The following is an 18,733-nucleotide window of genomic DNA, read 5'->3' on the forward strand; positions in this document are numbered from 1 at the left end:
ACACTTTTGGTTGTCACAACTGGGTGGGGGTCGGTGGGAGGGATGGTAGGATAGTGGCATCTAATGGTAGAGGCCAGGGATGTGCTAAACATCAGAATGTACCAGACAATCCCCCGGAGTAAAGAATTATCTGGCTTAAAATGTCAGCAGTGCTGAGGTTGAGAAACCCTGATCTAAAATCTAAGATCATTTGAATCTTTACCACCAAACATCTACCCTCCCTCCTTCCCTCTCTGTCTCCCTTTCTTCTTTCATTCTTCCCTCCTCTCCTCTTTTCTTTTTTTTCCCCTCCCTCCTTCTCTTTCTTTCCTACCTCCTCCCTTCTAAACAAGATAGATATATGCCCAGGCCCTCAGGGAATTTATCTTGAGAGGAACATCTCAGACAATATAGGCATAAACCAGTGAAGTAATGATGACAAATGCTATGCAGGATGCGGTAAGGAAGAATTACAGGGGGGACCACCCTTGGATGGGGTGATCAGGGAAGGCCTCTCTGAGCAGCTGACAGATGTGAGGGTCAGAAGGAGAAGGAGGAATCAGCCTTGGAAGAACTAACAGAAAAATGTTCCTGGCTTTGGGAACAGCAAATGCAGAGACATTGAGATGAGTGTGAACTTGGTGTGTTCAGGAAGCAGAGGGAGCCCCTGTCTGGTGCAAGAAAAGTGAGGGCCAACCCTGCCCTGCCTGGCATGGGGCTGGAGTTTGCTGAGCAATTGATACAATCCATGTCAGCTCTTTGGAATTCCCAGAAATTCCTGTAGACTCCAGAGTCTTGGGGGCTCAAGAGGGTTCAAACTTAAAGCTAAGAAATCACCTCAATGCCATGTTCAATCTATTACTTACAGGCACAGGGCTGGAAATGGATTGGCATTCAAAGTAATGGAATGGAATGTATTTATTTGAACATCAAAATCCTTGGTGGATTAAAATGTGCTGGGAATGTGGAGCATGACCTCACCGTGACACGTGCACCTGCTCAGCTGCATTGAGATACAGGGCCCTGCAAAATGGCTTGTTTTCTCCTAACTTCCACCCTGGTCCCTTCCAATACAGGCTCCACAGGAAAGTCAGGACACAAAGGAATCATTGCACTCCACTCTGCTCTCAGGATAAAATCCATACTACTTCTTCTTTTTTTTTTTTCTGAGACGGAGTCTTGCTCTGTCGCCCAGGCTGGAGTGCACTGGCACGATCTCAGCTCACTGCAACCTCCGCCTCCCGGGTTCAAGCAATTCTCCTGCCTCAGCTTCCTGAGTAGCTGGGATTACAGGCGCCCGCCACCACGCCCAGATAATTTTTGTATTTTTAGTAGAGTTGGGGTTTCACCATGTTGGTCAGGCTGGTCTCAAACCCCTGACCTCGTGTTCCACCTGCCTCGGCCTCCCAAAGTGTTGTGATTACAGGCATGAGCCAAAAATCCACACTTCTTGATAAGGCCTACGAAGCCCCCCATGGTTTGATCTTTGCCCAGCCCTCCCACCTGTCTCATCCTATCCCACTTGCTCTGGGGACCTCAGGGATGTGCCCATACCTTTCCTGCATCACAAGGATCTTCTTATGGAACAGACTTCTCATAGCCCTCAACAGGAACCAGCTTGGACTCTGGGCTTCAGGACTGTGAGAATACAAATTTCCATTGTTGAAGCCACCCAGTCTGTAGAATTTTGCTAGGGCAGCCCTAGGGCATTAATACACACAGGATGGAAGGGATGAATTTGTCTTGAGGGGTTGTGGAAGGAGGTATATGGGTGGGAAGTGGGCTGGGGCTGTAGGTGACTGAGGGTGAGGCACTTACACTAACTCCTATTTTGGCCCTGGGTGAGGCTGTGATGGAAGCTGTGGTTGGTGCTGGCCTGGGCCTTTCTATGTGTGTGTGTGTGTGTGTGTGTGTGTGTGTGTGCGCGCGCGTGTGTGTGTGTGTTTTGGGGATGCAGGGTGTGGCAGGCAGGAAGGAGAGCTTGAGCCAGAGGCATAATGAGGACATGGAGAAGCTGAGCTGTGGAGCCAGCAGGACCTTTTCTCCTGGAAGAGAAAAATGAAACGGCTGGTTGGCTGCGAGTTGTTCAGCTGAGTCCTTGTCCCTAATTACCACCCAGACCAAGCCTCTGGGCAGCATCATCCTGGCCCATCTGCAGCTTCTAAGATGGTCAGGATCCAAGCCAGGTGCCGGTGTGTGTGCTGGTCCTCATGGCCAGTGAGCAGCGAGGGGACTTTAATTAAAGAACTAATTACTCTGACTCTCTACGGGAACATCTGCAGCCCCCCAGCCAGTCTGGAGCAGGACTCCCTCTAATCTGGGCTTTCAGAGCAATGCCTGAGTGTGTATGTGTGTGTGTGTGTGTGTGTGTGTGCGCGCGCGTGTGCGTGCGTGCGTGTGCATGTCCAGGATATGTGCGTGTCTGTGCATGTTGGTATGTGTGCATGCACTTGGACATGTGCTTTGTGTGCCCTGTGCATGTATGTGCACATGTATTGGTGAGTGACCATGTATATAGCTTGCATTTCTATTTGTGCATCTCTGTGTGTGCAGGTGGGAACATGTGCACACGTGCGTCATCATGGTCATGTGTATGTATGTGGGCAAGGGGGTAAATACACATATGTACCCAAATGGTGTGGGTGTGTGCAAGTTCTTATGATTTTTTTCCTTTCCTATGATTGAAGCTTCAGCGACTCTATGGGTTGCATGTGTATGTGTCCCTGGTCATTCTGCAACTGTGAGTGTGTGCAGTGTGTGTGAACATGGCTCTATAAACAGGGCCCCAGCCGCAGGTAACATCTGTGTTTGCACTGGGCTTTTGGAAGCTCTTCCCAAAGGAGGGGAGAATTCGGAGATTTTAGGGAGCAGGTGAAGGAAGGCTGGTCTGTGAGGTGGATGGTTTGCAGTGAGGGGTTCAGCTCTGCCCTGATGCCCTGCTTAGTCATGTTGGACCAAGGTGGGAGGTTGTTCTAGACAGACTGTCCAGGGATTGAGTGGGAGGTTTGGCTCTGGGCAGGGGTGAATAGTTCCAGGTGGACAGAGTAAGCCTTCCAAGCTGAACAGTATGCTTCCCACTGTGAGCTCCGGTCTCCTTGACAACACAGAGTCAGGGCTGGGCCCTGGGGAAAGGGATGTGCATCTCCGTGTGCATACCACGAGGGGAACTCCGGGACGCTCTCCTGGTGGGAACTCAGATTGTTTTACGAAGGGGTTTGGAGTGTGGGGAGAAGAAAATTAAAAAGGTCTCTTTCAACTGCAAAACAAAATTCATAAGTTTTAAACTTCAGGTAAGTTCAGGGTCTGAGCCTGGTTTGCTCTCAGAGGTAGCATGATCTGTTTGAATCCCTGAAGCATGAACACAAGAGGTTTGGAGGAGGCTCAGAGTGGACATAAAGAGATTGGAGGGGCTGGGGCAGGCCCCTGAGGACCATGGGAAACTATGGGTGACCCCTTCATGACTAAGGAGAGGAGATGGGCTGGTGTGCCTGGATCTGGGCTGGATCCTTATGGAGCATGAATGTAGGGACAGAGCTCTCTGGACAGTGGGCAGGAGTGGGGAAGTTGGCACATGGAAAATGCTGACCAGCTGAATCTTGTGTCCTTCCTTCTCTCTCTCCCATTATTTTGATTATTTCACAAGGAATCTGAAGCTTCCCCTCCATGCCCCACTGGCAACCAAGGGTGCAGTGCCAGAAAAAAACAGATATTTCCCCAGAAGTCCTGGGTCAAGTATTTCCTTGCAAGCTCATTAAATCACCTTTTGCTTTGATTGTTCAACTGGTAGTGTCGGGACCTGTGAATGGCACACAGCTCATAGCTCCAAGTGCTCCTGGAGCCACCCGTCCCTGCCAGCTCCCTTGGGGCTGGGAAGCAGGGGACATGCCATGGGCCTTGCTGTCTAGAGGACTGAAGGGTCATTGACCAAAATAACCCCTTAAGTTGTCCTAACCTGCTAGAGAAATGCTTCTGGTTAGACAGAGCAATTGTTGAAACACTGGCCTACGTTTTCTACTCTTTAAGAGATACCTTCCATGAATTAACTTATTAATAGGAGTCATAATAAAGACAATAATAATATTCAGGGCCACCAGTAGCCCAGGTGGCAGCTCTGAGATTTAGAACAAGGCACCATCTCAAGGCAAATAGGTGATAGCAAGTTGTCCCCTTTGATGGCCATTGAGAATGAGGCACTCCTTCCTCTGAACTGAGGCAGCCCCACTGAGGAGCCTGGCGAGGAAGGGGAGCTCAGGCTGGACTCCAGCTGCACTTGGCTCCCCCTTGGCTAGGTGCCTTGGTACAAGGGTCAACCTACACAGCAGTGCATGACAACCCTGGGTGATAGCTAGCGTTCTGCAAGTGCTTACTGTGTGCAGGCACTATGCTAAGAGTGGACATGGATTATCTTATTCTACCCCCACAACAGCTGCACAACCTGGGAAACATCAACCCCGTGTTGCAGAGAAGGGAGGCTTCTTCTCTGAGGCTTCGGGAGGTTCTGCATGCTGTTGGAGGCCACACAGTTTTTAAGTGCAGCATTTGAACCTAGGCAGTCTGTCTCAGAGTCCAAGCTCTTAGCCACAAAGTTAAAGGTAGGGCCTGGGGCAGGTAAAAGGATGGGAGGAGATAAGTTCTCAGGGAGCTCCAGGTTGGTGGGTAGACAGAAGCATGAGAGCCCAGTGGACTCTGCCAGTGCCCTGTCCATGCATCCTCCCCCAATTCTGCTTCCTGCTGATGGAATCTTACTCTCTGTTCAACTGAGGCTTTCCCTTGGATTGCATGCAGGGCAGACCATAAGCGCTGAAGGTTGATGCCCCAGCCAATGAAGACAGGAATTATCCTTTATTGGGATAGCTCTGAGGCATATTCTACCCCGTTTCCTAGGGGTTTCCAGTGGATTGAAGCCAAGTTGCCTACAGGGTTCCCCAGCTCATGAACACACCCCATACTGGCTGTCTTCATTTCCTATATCACTCTCCTACACCTGGTGCCTTACCTGGACCCACCTCCTAAATATACTGCTGTTCTCAGATCCTGGTCTCAGGGTCTGCTTCTGGGGGATCCTGGCCTAAGACGGGGGTCCTATGACCACCCTTCCTAAGCCCATAGCCAGCCTTCCCTACCCAGAAGACAGGAGCTAGAGGAGTCTAAGGAGGAAAAGGAGTATTATGGAAAATCTCCGTGCCTAGAGCAGTGCAGTCCAGCTCAGAGGGGTTCATTTCAGCAGAGGTTTCCAGGGGCAGGGCCAACACATCTGAGAGGAGTGTGTGCACCCGTGTATGTGTGCATGCACAGACACTATGCATGCACACTATGGACTCACCACACACCACACACAGTTTCCAGGCACCAAGCAAGGTTCAGCCTTGCTTAGCCTCATGGCTCTGTGGACTCTAGATTCTCAAACATGAAGCTAAGAGGCCTCCTTGGGGACAAGGCTGTGCAGCAGGGAAGCAAATCAGGTGAGTGGCAGGAGTGTCCTGGTGACTGCAGCCACAGCAAGTGGGGTGCATGCAATGCAGTGCATTGGGATCAAGTACACCTGTGTTTTGTTTTGTTTTGCTTTTTTGAGATGGAGTATTGCTCGTCACCAGGCTGGAGTGCAGCGGTGCGATCTTGGCTCACTGCAACCTCTGACTCCCTGGTTCAAGCGATTCTCCTGCCTCAGTCTCCTGAGTAGCTGGGACTACAGGCATGCTCCATCACACCCAGCTAATTTTTGTATTTTTAGTAGAGACGGGGTTTCATCGTGTTGGCCAGGATGGTCTTGATCTCCTGACCTCATGATCCGCCTGCCTTGGGCTCCCAAAGTGCTGGGCTTATAGGCGTGAGCCAATGCACCTGGCTGCTACACCTGTATTTGAATCCCAGCCCTGCCTCGCAGCACTATGTGACCTCAAGAAAGTTACTGCTCCTCTCTGGCCCTCCCCTGCCTCTGAGACTCTGGCCCCTTTGGCTTCTGCGTCTGCCCTGACACATGACCTCCTTGTTGGCATCCCCCACAACACCCACATACCAAGAATAAGGAGATGGGTCCATTCTACCCAAATTTTGGATGCTGGGGAGAGGATCACATCCTTCAGCCATGGAGCAAACATCAGCTTCCCTCTTCCCCTTCTTCCTCCGGTCTCAATTCCTCTCCCTTGAATAGGACAAGCAGTTCAGCTCCCATAGACTCAAGTAACCAACCCCATCACAGAGCTTAGCTGAACAAAGCTGGGCAGGGCTGCCTCTTGAGCCAGCCTCCTTAGAAGCCTGCTGGGCTTAGAAAGAGCAAAACTGTCATCTTCTTATTCCCACAGCGGATACTGGGCTTTCACTAACATTTTACATAAACAGGGTTTAGTATCTGCAAAAGATGGGAAAACCACTTGAGTAAAGTAAACTGTAAGGACGTTGCCAGTTCCATAGAGCTTTGCAAATTGCTCTTCAATTTTAAACAGCTCGTTAAAATGCAGGCTCACCTGGTCCCCACAGGAATCTGGTAAGGTGGGTATGATGATTATGATTGTCCCATTAGCTAAGTCATCATTGAAAAGTGAGTGATGTTCCCATTTTACAGCTGAGATATAGGGTCACAGAGATGTTATGCACCTGTCTTATTGATGAGACAGAATGTTTTTTGTTATAAGTAACAAAAACCTCAATGAAAATAGTGTTAAATAATGAGGACGATTCATTAGCTTGGATATAGAAGACTCTGGATGTAAAGTGGTTCTAGGGTTGGTCAATACAGTAGCTACCTACTCAGTGACTTGGGGTCTTGTCTTGTCTTTTCTCCTTTCCCTTTCCCTTTCCCTTTCCTTTCTTTCTTGATAGAGTCTCACCCTATCACCCAGGCTGGAGTGCAATGGCATGATCTCGGCTCACTGAAACCTCCTAGCTTCAAGCGATTCTCCTGCCTCAGCCTCCCAAGTAGCTGGGACTACAGGTGCATGCTGCCACACCCAGCTTTTTTTTTTTTTTTTGTAATTTTTTAGTAGAGACAGGGTTTCACTGTGTTGCCCAGGCTGGTCTTGAACTCCTGAGCTCAGGCAATCCACCTGCCTTGGCTTCCCAAAGTACTAGGATTACAGACATGAGCCACGATGCCTGGCAGATCTTTCCATCTTTCTTCAGGACATTCCCACTCTGAGAAGCTTCCCATTTGCAGGTAGGTTTGAAGCTGTTTGTCGTTCATGTGTTGGACATTGTGCCAAGGTAGTTTCATTTACCTACTTTATGGAGGAGGATATGGAAGCCCGAGGCACTGACCTGTGGTATCCCCAGGATTTGTGGCAGGACTTCTCACTCGAATTCCAGGGCTCCCCTTCCTCCTCCATGCCACCAGGCGCTACCTCCATGGAAAAGGCAATGCCACAGTTTTGAGCTGGTTAAGGAAGATACCTCCTCTGCTCCCTCCTTCACCATCCCCCAGTGCAGAGATGGAGCACCTTGGTTCCAGCTCAAGAGGGGAGAGGGGGTAGGGCCACGGCTGGGGGACAATTTAGGGCTGATTCACAGTGACTATGAACTAAGGCCTGACTGAGAGGGTATCTGTGAAGGACACTGATCATCTCTGTGCTTCGCTCCCAATGGTGTCTATTTATAAAATGTTTTAGGGAGTCATTGAATCTTCCTAAGGGGCAGTAGATAAAGCATAACCTTGGAGCAGGGAGATCTGCTGTGTTAGTTTAGGAGACGCTGGCTGCTGTAACAGGGAAACTCTGACATCCCAGGGACTCGGTTCAACAAAGCGTATTTCTTGCTTACAGAAAGTCTACTTGGTGGCAGGGTTGAGGGTGGGTGGGGGTTTTCTGTTCCACAAAGCCATTCAGGCATCCAGGCTGACAGAGACTCTATGCCTTCAACATGTGGCTTCCAAGGTCCCTCTGGATTTCATAAGCTAGATGCGACAGGACAGAGCATGAAGGGCTGGTGCGGGGCACCCTTGGGAGTGGTGCACATTATTCCTCTTGATTCACTGGCTGGAACTCAGCCTCATAGCTATGTAATCTCAAGGAGAGTGGGAAATTTTGTGCCTAGGAAGAAGAGGAAATGGATTTGGAGAGCCACATCAGTCTCTGCCACACTTGGTTTTGAATCTAGACCTTGCCACACACTATTTGTGGGACCTTAGCTTCCTTAACATGTCTGAGCCTCAGTTTCCTCATTAAAGGGCAAATGGTGATAATCTCCTAGGAGGTATGATGTTGGGAGGGTTTCTTGAGTTTTTTCTCCAACACTCCCATGCAGTCGTGGTTCTTACCTGCAGAGCTCCAGCCTCTATGTACAATTGTCCACATACTTGTCAACTTCCTTGGTAATAACTCCTCTCCTGGAGGGCAAACTCCACCAGAATAGGGGCCACACTGCTCTCAATCAGAGCTGCAGCCCTAACAACTGGCCTGGCGCCCAGCACTTAGTAGGCATTCAATAAATACATGTCGGGGAAATGAATGGACGGATAAGTTAATATGAACACATATGTGCTAAGATTTACTCCTTTAAAAATTCTTCCTCAATAAATATTCGCACCTCTATGTTCCATCATGGTGTGGTGAGGGGGAGGGAGGGGGGAAGAAGACGAGGAGGAGGAGGGGCACCTTTCTCCCACCCCTACTGGAGCTCAAACTATAAATAGCTCCAGTTGGAATCTGACTGCAGATTCCTCCAGCAAAGTCAGCATCCCCAGGACCTCTCATCCTGGATGGGGACCGGGAGTGCTTCCTCATTAATCACAGCTCTTTAATTAACAGCTCTGAGCCTGGAACAAAAGGTGCTTACCGGGAGAACGCCAGCGGGCCCTGAACTCTGGCCGCCTGTTTTTATTTGGAGGACCTGGCGCCTTGGGGAGCAGGCATGGCATGGCTCAGTGCTGAGCCTGGCAGGGGATGGGGTTTGGAGGGCGAGCAGCTGGCAGGCCGGCTGCCTGTCTCCACCTTGGACATCTCCACACAGAGCTGACTCGACTTCGAGCAGGTTGCTGGCAGCTCTGTCCTCCTCAGGCTGATGCTGATGTCATTGGTCTGGGGTGGGGCTGGACAGTGAAGTTGTCACGTTCCCCAGGTGGCTCTAATGTGCACAGTTTGAAAAACACTGCTCCAGGGATGGCAGGCTTGGCAGAAGGCACTGAGATGGGTCCAAAGGCCTAACTGAGTGACCCAGAGATGGACACTTACCCAAGGCATGCCTAATGCCCAGGCAGATCAAAGGCCCACTCCCTCCTCTTCTCCCCGTTGGCGGATGCAGCAGGAATGGAACCTGCCTTTCCTTCTCCCATCATGCCTCCTGGAGATGATCAGAGGAGAGCCAGACCACAGAAGCAGGACTTCAGCCAGGGGCTGGGTGGGAGGCTTGGAAGGCAGGAGGAAGCACACACAGCTTGGCACTGGAAGCAGTGGCCCTAGGGCTCCTGCTGAGCCCCAGGTGTAATATCAAGTTGATGCAAAAGTCGTTGTGGTTTTTCCTATTGCTTTCAATGATAAAAACCGCAATCTGACAAAAGGCTAATATCCAGAATCTACAATGAACTCAAACAAATTTACAAGAAAAAAACAAACAACCCCATCAAAAAGTGGGCAAAGGACATGAACAGACACTTCTCAAAAGAAGACATTTATGCAGCCAAAAAACACATGAAAAAATGCTCACCATCACTGGCCATCAGAGAAATGCAAATCAAAACCACAATGAGATACCATCTCACAACAGTTAGAATGGCAATCATTAAAAAGTCAGGAAACAACAGGTGCTGGAGAGGATGTGGAGAAATAGGAACACTTTTACACTGTTGGTGGGACCGTAAACTAGTTCAACCATTGTGGAAGTCAGTGTGGCGATTCCTCAGGGATCTAGAACTGGAAATACCATTTGACCCAGCCATCCCATTACTGGGTATATACCCAAAGGACTATGAATCATGCTGCTATAAAGACACATGCACACGTATGTTTATTGCAGCATTATTCACAATAGCAAAGACTTGGAACCAACCCTAATGTCCAACAATGATAGACTGGATTAAGAAAATGTGGCACATATACACCATGGAATACTATGCAGCCATAAAAAATGATGAGTTCATGTCCTTTGTAGGGACATGGATGAAATTGGAAATCATCATTCTCAGTAAACTATCGCAAGAACAAAAAACCAAACACCACATATTCTCACTCATAGGTGGGAATTGAATAACGAGATCACATGGACACAGGAAGGGGAATATCACACTCTGGGGCCTGTTGTGGGTTGTGGGGAGGGATAGCATTGGGAGATATACCTAATGCTAGATGACGAGTTAGTGGGTGCAGCGCACCAGCATGGCACATGTATACATATGTAACTAACCTGCACAATGTGCACATGTACCCTAAAACTTAAAGTATTTAAAAAAAAAAAGTCTAGGAGAAAACCAATCAAATGGTCAACATGGATGATGGCATATAAGTGTTTTAACTTTTCTTTAACTTTTTGCATTAAAATTTTTTCTATATTGAATAAGCAAAAAAAAAAAAAAAAAAACCGCAATGGGCTGGGCGCAGTGGCTCACGCCTGTAATCTCAGCACTTTGGGAGGCCGAGACAGGCAGATCATGAGGTCAGGAGATCAAGACCATCCTGGCTAATACGGTGAAACCCCATCACTACTAAAAATACAAAAAATTAGCTGGACATGGTGGCACATGCCTGTAGTCCCAGCTACTTGGGAAGCTGAGGCAGGAGAATCGCTTGAATCTGGGAGGCAGAGGTTGCAGTGAGCTGAGATTGTGCCACTGCACTCCAGCCTGGGCGACAGAGAAAGACTCCATCTCAAAAAAAAAAAAAACAACAAAAAAAAACCCAAACAACAACAACAACAAAAAAAAACCACATAAAAAACCACAAACCACAGTGACTTTTGCACCAACCTTATAATTCTTCCTAACAGATCTCTAATGTTCTTTTCAAATTTGTCTCTTCACTTCTTCTCTTGTACTGTGACCACTGTTGAAGGGCTCCCTACAGCAGACCTGGCTCATTACAGAGTTCTGTTAGCATGCCCTCTGAAAGGCAGTGTCTTCATCTATAACATGGGGACATTATGCTTGACAGATTCCCAGTGTTTGCATGTGGTAGGTATTCAGAAAATTCTTGTGTAAACTCTAAAGTTCAAATCAAAGATGGCAAAGAGTTTTCATTCCGTATGCCAGCCTTCATGTGAATGGCCGCGGTCACCTGGAAAGGAATTTGAGGCCAAACTGGGGCTCAGTAAAAAGGATGCGGGAGTTGATTAGTGATGTCTCTCAGGGGTGCAGGAGCAGGAAGTGATGGCCAGAATTGCACGACTTTGCCATCCCTGGTCTTGGCGTAAACTTTATGAAGGTAAGGATTGAGTCTTTCAAAAGTTCACTTTTGTGTCCTTTGCGTTTAGTAAAGAATCTGGTGTACATGAAGTGCTCAAATGTTTGTGGAAAGAAGAAATCTGTCCATTGTTTTTTCTAATTATTATTTTCTTGACTGTTCCTAGTCCACCCTTCACTGGGTCTTTTTTGGAGTTTGGATTCCTGTCTCCTTTCCTAGAGTGATGGTGTCAAAGTCCCTAAGCTGTTTTTGGAAGGGGGCTAGTGTGATTGAGTTGTTGGTTATGCAGTTAGGCAGGCCTGTGCCCACGTCCTGCAGGCACCACTGCATCCTGGCTGTGTGGTGTTGGGCAAGGCATTTCTATTTGCTGAGCCTCATTTGTTTTTTATATCATATGGGAATAATATTGGATTGGTGCAAAAGTAATTGCGGTAATTTTGCAAATGGCAAAACCCACAATTACTTTTGCACCAACCTTAATACGAACTTCCTCACATCTTATCCTGATGATTACATGATTAAATGAATCTAAAATGCCCAGAAAATGCAAGTGCTGAGAGTTGGTTTGCTTCTGAATTTCAAAGTCCAAAGTTTATTTCATTTTTTTCCCCCTCCCTTTCCGTAGGCAACTGCAGTGGGGTTAAAGCATGAATTTTTATGTTCCCTTTCTCTGGGCCTAGTTTTGTCACTCTGAAGTCCTCATTTTTATATTCTCAAATCCCTAATTCTTCCCCTCCCTATTCTCTGCCCTGCCACCCACCTGCCAATTAATCAATTGTTTCAGTTTTCTGGCTACATCTTAGTCTAGCCATACAAGCTCTCTCCTTAGGCTTTTATTTTCCAAAACCAAGGATGGCATCCAGTATGATGGCCCCCGCTGCTGCCTCTGCCCAGGGTGCTGACTTTCTCCAAACTCTCAAGCAGGGGTTAAGTATTAAGAGGTCATCCCTGGGAGTAACCTGAATATTTGGGACTTTTTTTTTTTTTTCCCCAAAATGGTATTTTCCCCAGTCTACTTAAGAGCATATTAAGTGTACATATTCCCAGATCTCATCTAAGACATAGGGAATCGGACCCTGGGGGAGTGGAGACTGGGTACCTGTGAGCTTCAAGCACCCAAGTGACCCTGTTTCACTCTGAGTTTTGACAGTAACTAGAGAATGTTCCTAAGAGAGAACCTCATTTAAACAGTTTCCCAGGATGCCCTGGCATTTCTCTTTGCATGCTCCAGCCCATTTAGCTCTTTTTACAGTGGCTTTCAATATGGACTTCACACTAGATCCCAGATCAATTATGCCAGGAGTTTTGGGGGTGGAGCCTTCTAAAAGTCCTCCAGGTGATTTGAATGGGGATCCAGGGCTGAGAGCCATGAAATTCCTGAGATTCCAGCTCCTGAGGAGGAAGGCAATCCTTGGACTTCTTATTGCAAGAGGAGTAGAATTCTCTTTGCTCTCTGCTCTTACGTCCTCATGATTGGGGCAGATCCTAGAAGCCTGGTTGCCTCGTGTATGCAGTAGACACAGTTACTATGTATTAAAACCACTTGTTACTCATGGACTTGGCCCTCAATTCTTCCTCTCACCTCTGTAAAATTGGTCTAGAGCAGTGATAATTTTGCCCATCTTTTTCTGTCATGCACATTTTAGCACCCTTATTTCTCTGTTCTCCCAGTTGATGTGGCAGGCAGGAGTGCAGTAGTGCACCAAGATTCAGGCTGGACAAGAGAGGAATGGAGTGACCCTCCTAGGACAGGCTCCTAGCACACCGCTGGTCTCCCCCTTCCCCAGGAAATTAATCCTTGTTCTGGCATTACTACCACCAGAGCCCTCTAGACTCTATGTTAGTGTCTTGGAGGGGGAGCTTACTATCTCTTTGGGCAGCTTACTCCATATTTGAGAAGTTTTGGGGACCAAATTCATCACTACCCCTCTTGGTTCTCAGTAACAACAGAACAATTCTTCACCCAGCTAATTCTCAGACAGATCTCAGCTTAAATGCTGCATTTTCAGGAGCCTCCCTGACCACTCCATTTTATTTGGTACCCCCCACTTTCTGCTACTTACTACACTAAGCTTGTTATCTTTATTACAAATACCACAATCGATGTTATGTTTGTTTGCCTGTTTATCACCTGTCTTTCCCACCAGACTGTAAGCTTTACTAAGAGCAGGGACCAAGCCTGCTTTATTCACATGATTCATAAGGGTCCTAGCAAGAAATAGATGTCACACTTGAATTCTGTAGTTTGAGTTTAATAAAGGGACTTTTTATAAGGGTATAGGCTGGGCATGGTAGCTCACATCTATAATCCCAGCACTTTGGGAGGTCAAAGGAGGAGTATTACTTGAGCCCAGGAGTTCAAGACCAGCCTGGGTAACAAAGCAAGACCCCATCTCTACAAAAAATAAAAAAAATAATCAGCCAGGTGTGGTGTCTTACGCCTCTGGTCACAGCTACTTGGGAGGCTAAGGTGGGAGGATCACTTAAGCCTGGGAGGTCGAGGCTGCAGTGAGCCATGATGGCACCACTGCACTCCAGCATGGGTGACAGAGAGAAACCCTGTCTCAAAACAAACAATAAAACTCCCCCCAAACCCACAAGGGTGTAGGCAGGCTTAGGGTAATCCACAAGGGACAGTATATTACCCAGGACTAGCCACACCAGAAAGCTGTGACTAACCCAATAACTGAGGGTTTTTGCATTCCCAAAGGCGTGGTACTGGAGCCCTGGCTGGAGCCTTTGGTTGAGGCCACCAGCAGCAACTTGACAAATACCTTGACCTCGCTCTCCTCTTGCCTTCTGATCTTCTATTGTCTGAGCCTGGTCGGAAGTGAGGGAGTAAGGGAGTCCATTGATATGTTTTATCAGGTGAACATTTTGGGGTACAGAGCGGGATGGAGAGGGCACCCATGGATCTGAAGGGGCCGATGAAAGATACTCCACATTTGCTGTCGTATGCACAGATCCTGGCACTGTATCTGGCACATAATAGGTGCTTATTAAATGTTTGTTGAACAAGTGAATTCTTATTCTATTTGAAGAGAGTAGTCATGCCATCTGGATCTCCAGGTTCAGCTCTCTGTTCATTCTATTAACCTTCAGATAATGCATTTTTGTGACCCCTTTCCACCCTGGTTGCCTTTTTCTGAGTGCACTTCTGTTAGTTATGTCCCTGTAAAGTGTAGTCTAGGTGTGGTCTCATTGGCACAGAGCAGCAGGACCCTCCCGCTGTAATCTCTCTTCATACCGCCTGAGATCCTGAAATCCCAGTATATTTTTGGGAGGACATGCCATGATGTCTTCTTGCTGTCAAGTGAAACCCCTGCATACTTGCATGAGCTGCTGAACATGTTGATTGAATTCCAGGATATAGATCTGCTTTGAACGTTGTCTGACTAGTGATTATAGGATTTGACCTAAATTAAGATTAACAGTGGCAAACACCACACATGCATACTTCCATGGCAGACATTACTAATCTATCAAAGCCATGATTTTCTGCTACACCTCTGAATCCTTCTCAACACATGCTTTAGGCAGTCAGTACCAATCTGTTGGAAGTGGCATATGAAATAAAACCTATTGACCATTCTTGCTGTAGGCTCTCTTTGGATTTGAGAAATGAAGGATGGGAATAGAAACTCAAATATCTTAATGAGGAAAAAACTGTTTCTATTGTCTGCTCAGCCACTGAGCACCTAATAGGGTCTATGTGAGGCTTAAGCAAGCATGTGAGTGAAGTACAGAGCTCAGCGCCAGGCTCATGGTAAGTCCTCACATTGCTGTGGTTTGAAAAGGAAACTGTATATCCAACAAGTAGAACTTCTCAAACTCTTTAGCAGGAAAGGCAAGCCACACTGTGGGGTCTTGCTGTACAGAATTGAAGGAGCTCCAGGTGAGAGTAAGCCTATAATTTGTAGGGCAGCTGGAAAGTCAAGGTGCTGGAGCCAGAAGGCAAGATGAAACTGAGACAGAATCCTTAGGTGGGACCTGGAGTGAGTTGTGCAGCCGGAGACCCGCCATGCTGATGAATGCTTCAGGCACCAGCTTACTCCCTGAGTTTTGGCCTGTCCTAGACATCCAACATGCTTACACAAGCTGACAGAGAAGCTTCTGCCTCCATTTCTCTTCCTGGAGCCCAGCTTATTTGTCAGGGGTCCAGACTTTGGACTTTTGCTTGGTAGGGTGGATTTTATTACTAAACCTTCAGTTGCTGGTCTGTGCTCTATCCTCCCTCACCTGGCACATTTCTAGTTATCATTAGGCCAGCACTAGTTATCACTAGGCTGGCTCTCATAAGAAGGCGTATCTTGAATGACATGTACATTACCAATAGATATGATGTGAGCCACAAATGTGAGTCACTTAATGTACTTCAGAATGTTCTAGTAGTCATATTTAAAAAAGCAAAGAGAAACAGTTGAAATTAATTTAGATAATATATTTTATTTAATCCAAATGTTCAAAATCTAATCATTTCAACATATGATCAGTATAAAATGACTAATGAGATATTTTGCATTCTTTTTTTTGTAGCAAGACATTGAAATTAGGAGTACATTTTTCACCTGCAGCTCATTTCAATTTGCATGAACCACACTTCCAGTGCTCAATAGCCACATGTGGCTGGTGGCCACTGTGTTACACAGCACAGGTTTATGTCCTAGGCAAATCCTACATTCTCAGGGATGTCCCCAAGCCTGACCTATTTGCTCCTTCCTTGGGCTCTCCTTATCAAAACAGTTATCATACTTTACTGTTATTGAAAGTTTACTATTTCTCCTCTTCTCTGGAGAATACATTTTATCTTATTTTTTGAGGCAGGATTTCACTCCTGTCACATAGGCTGGAGTGCAGTGGCATGATCTTGGTTCACTGCAACCTCCGCCTCCCAAGCTCAAGTGATTCTCCTGCCTCAGCCTCCCAAGTTGCTGGGGTTACAGGTGCACACCATTGCACCCGGCTAATTTTTGTATTTTTTTTGTAAAGACAGGATTTTGCCATGTTGCCCAGGCTGGTCTTGAACTCCTGGGCTCAAGCAATCTGCCTGCCTTTGCCTCCCAAAGTTCTGAGATTATAGGCGTGAACCATTGTGCCCAGCCAATAATACATTTTATAAGGGTAGTGAGCAAATGTGCTTGTTTATGCATCTCTCTACCTGGCTTGCCTGGCATATACAGGAGTTCTATAAATCCATGTTGAATAAGTAAATTAACAGGGCCCTCTATTCTCCAGGGACCCCACCACCTTTTCTTCCTTGCTTCCACCCCTGTCCCTGACTCAGTTTCTCAGATCCTGGCACACCTTACGGCCTCCCCATCCCCTCTGCTTGTCTCATCCTGAGGCACCTGACAGCCGGGATTATTAGTGGGCAGATCAGGCAGGGGCCTAATGGACTTGGGCAGCGCTAGTGGGGAGCCAGCACAGTACAGGGGGCAGGCAGAGGGGCCTGGAATGACGAATGGCCCTGCCTGCTGGCCCGGGGAGGCGCCACGCACATACTTCCCACCGATCGGTGCCAGCAAGTGATCCAGGGACACTGCTAAATGCCGGCTTTAAATCTCGCTTAAAGGGCCATCAAGAGCAGCTTTTGGCCGTGAGCATCTTTGCCATTATTCTTTACTAGGCCCTTTTAACGTAACTGGGAACAGGGCAATATTTTGTTCATCTGTAGCTATTGGAAAGAGGCTCAGCGGAGTTTAATGGCTGAGAGCTGGGCAGCAGGCTTATCCTGGGAGGGATCTGGGGCCAGCTGCGGCCAGCTCTGGGGCCTTTTGGGGTAGGGTGGGATCTGGGGTGGTTCTTTGGTGGCTCTGAGGGGCTGGGCCCTGTAGCCTGTGAGGATGAAGGCTGACTTCACCTCCTCCCCAGAGCTGGCCTCCATGCTCCTTAGGTGGGGTGCCTGGCTGGATACTTCCAGGGGCCCCTGCTGCCTCTTGGATTCCTGAGCAACCAGGAGCTGAGAGCAACAGACTCAGCAGTGGCATGTTGGGGGCAGGCAGCTTTGCATTCCCAAATCACATGCTCTTTAAGTCTCAACAGAAACAGCTTTAAAAAAATTCCGACAACTCCTTATAGTCCCTGGTCCACTCCTTCCAGGCACCCTTCAGCCCTGGCCTCTCAGCCTCAAATTATCTATGCAATGTGAAAGCCCCCATTACACTGCTTCCAAAGAAGCAGAGGCTCACAGTCCTTTCTTGGGGGAGACACCCTTGTCCATCAGGTGTTTGAACTAGTGGACTAGCAGCCAAAGGTCTACATGATCACCCACCAGCCAGTGACTCTTACAAATATGAGGCTTCTTGGCAACCCTTAGGCAGGGCTGACATGTTGTCCAACTCACGGGAGGGCACCATTCATATCAAGGTCTATGTGAATGGCATCGCCTGAATTTGTGCAGTGCACAGCTTGGGCAACCACACGCAGTAGCTCTGTCTTCAGCCTCTAGTGCGTCTCTACTTTGGCATGGTGTTGATGTGGGGGTGAGGGGCCTGGCTGTGTGGTTCTCAGAAAGGGTGATGATGGGTTAGCCTCCCTTGACAGAGGCCACTGCTGTCCTTGGTGTAGGTCTGAGCCTCTTCCTCCACTTCAGAATTCTAGACCAGGGATTGGCAGACTGTGCAGTTCTATTGGTCTGCAGCCATGCCATACATATGTAGTTCATGTATTGTCTGTGACTGCTCTCAAACAGTAGACAAGTGAAAGCTACAGTCGATCATAGAGCCCTCAAAGCCCAGATTATTTACTCTCTGGCCTTTTAAGAAAAAGTTTGTCAACCCATGTTCTAGACAGTGGTGAGAGGAAAGGAGAAGGCTTCTAAATGCTTCCTTACTGGACATCTTTGGAGGGCCTGGGGGGGGGGGGGCTTTTATTGATTGCTTTAATTAAGCAGGCCTGGATATATATACCTCTTTTCTTGCTGTCACTGACTTAGTGGAAGTAGGAGTGTCCCAATATCTTTGTTGTGTACTATAGCTGACATCCAATCCAAGGCTGTGTGACCTCAGGGCCAACAGAGCCGTGTGTGTGTGTGTGTGTGTGACCAAGAGAGCCGTCATTCAAGAACTCATTCTGCAAATGTTTATTCTACCTGCCGAATGCCGGGAAACCAGATGCTGTGTGTACAGAGACAAGTAAGACATAGGTCCACAGGTCCTGACCTGGAGGAGGTTATGGGCTAGTTAGGAGGAATGTGTGTACACAGATAACTGGAATATGGTGTGAAGAGTATTATAAAACAGAGGTCCTAAGATGAACTCTTCCATGAGGCTGGTTGGGGGGATGGGGACAAATGAGTCGGGTCTTGAAGTAGAAGTAGAAGTTTTCCAAGTATATGAAAGAGGATGAGGGTATTTCAAACACATGGTCTTAGTTCTGATGTAGTTTCAGCACCTCTGGGACTGAGTGTGTAAATCTGGAAAACATTTAGAAAA

The 18,733-nt window shown here is 47.7% G+C and overlaps 1 long non-coding RNA gene across 1 annotated transcript in view, besides 1 other annotated feature; it reads left to right on the forward strand.

Moving 5' to 3' along the window:
• LOC107985448 (uncharacterized) overlaps window positions 1-18,733 on the forward strand; it is a 90,007-nt gene that overhangs the window by 3,901 nt on the left and 67,373 nt on the right. The gene's annotated exons all lie outside the window — the stretch shown is intronic.
• Window positions 16,944-17,444: an enhancer, noted in NCBI's record as "H3K4me1 hESC enhancer chr20:37779519-37780019 (GRCh37/hg19 assembly coordinates)". NCBI's record gives its function as "activates a minimal SCP1, AML or CMV promoter by ChIP-STARR-seq in naive H9 embryonic stem cells {active_cell/tissue: H9 hESC(naive)}" and the evidence as "EXISTENCE:reporter gene assay evidence [ECO:0000049][PMID:30033119]".

The sequence above is a fragment of the Homo sapiens genome, chromosome 20 (genome assembly GCF_000001405.40).
Source record: "Homo sapiens chromosome 20, GRCh38.p14 Primary Assembly".
NCBI classification, from domain to species: Eukaryota; Metazoa; Chordata; class Mammalia; order Primates; family Hominidae; genus Homo; species Homo sapiens.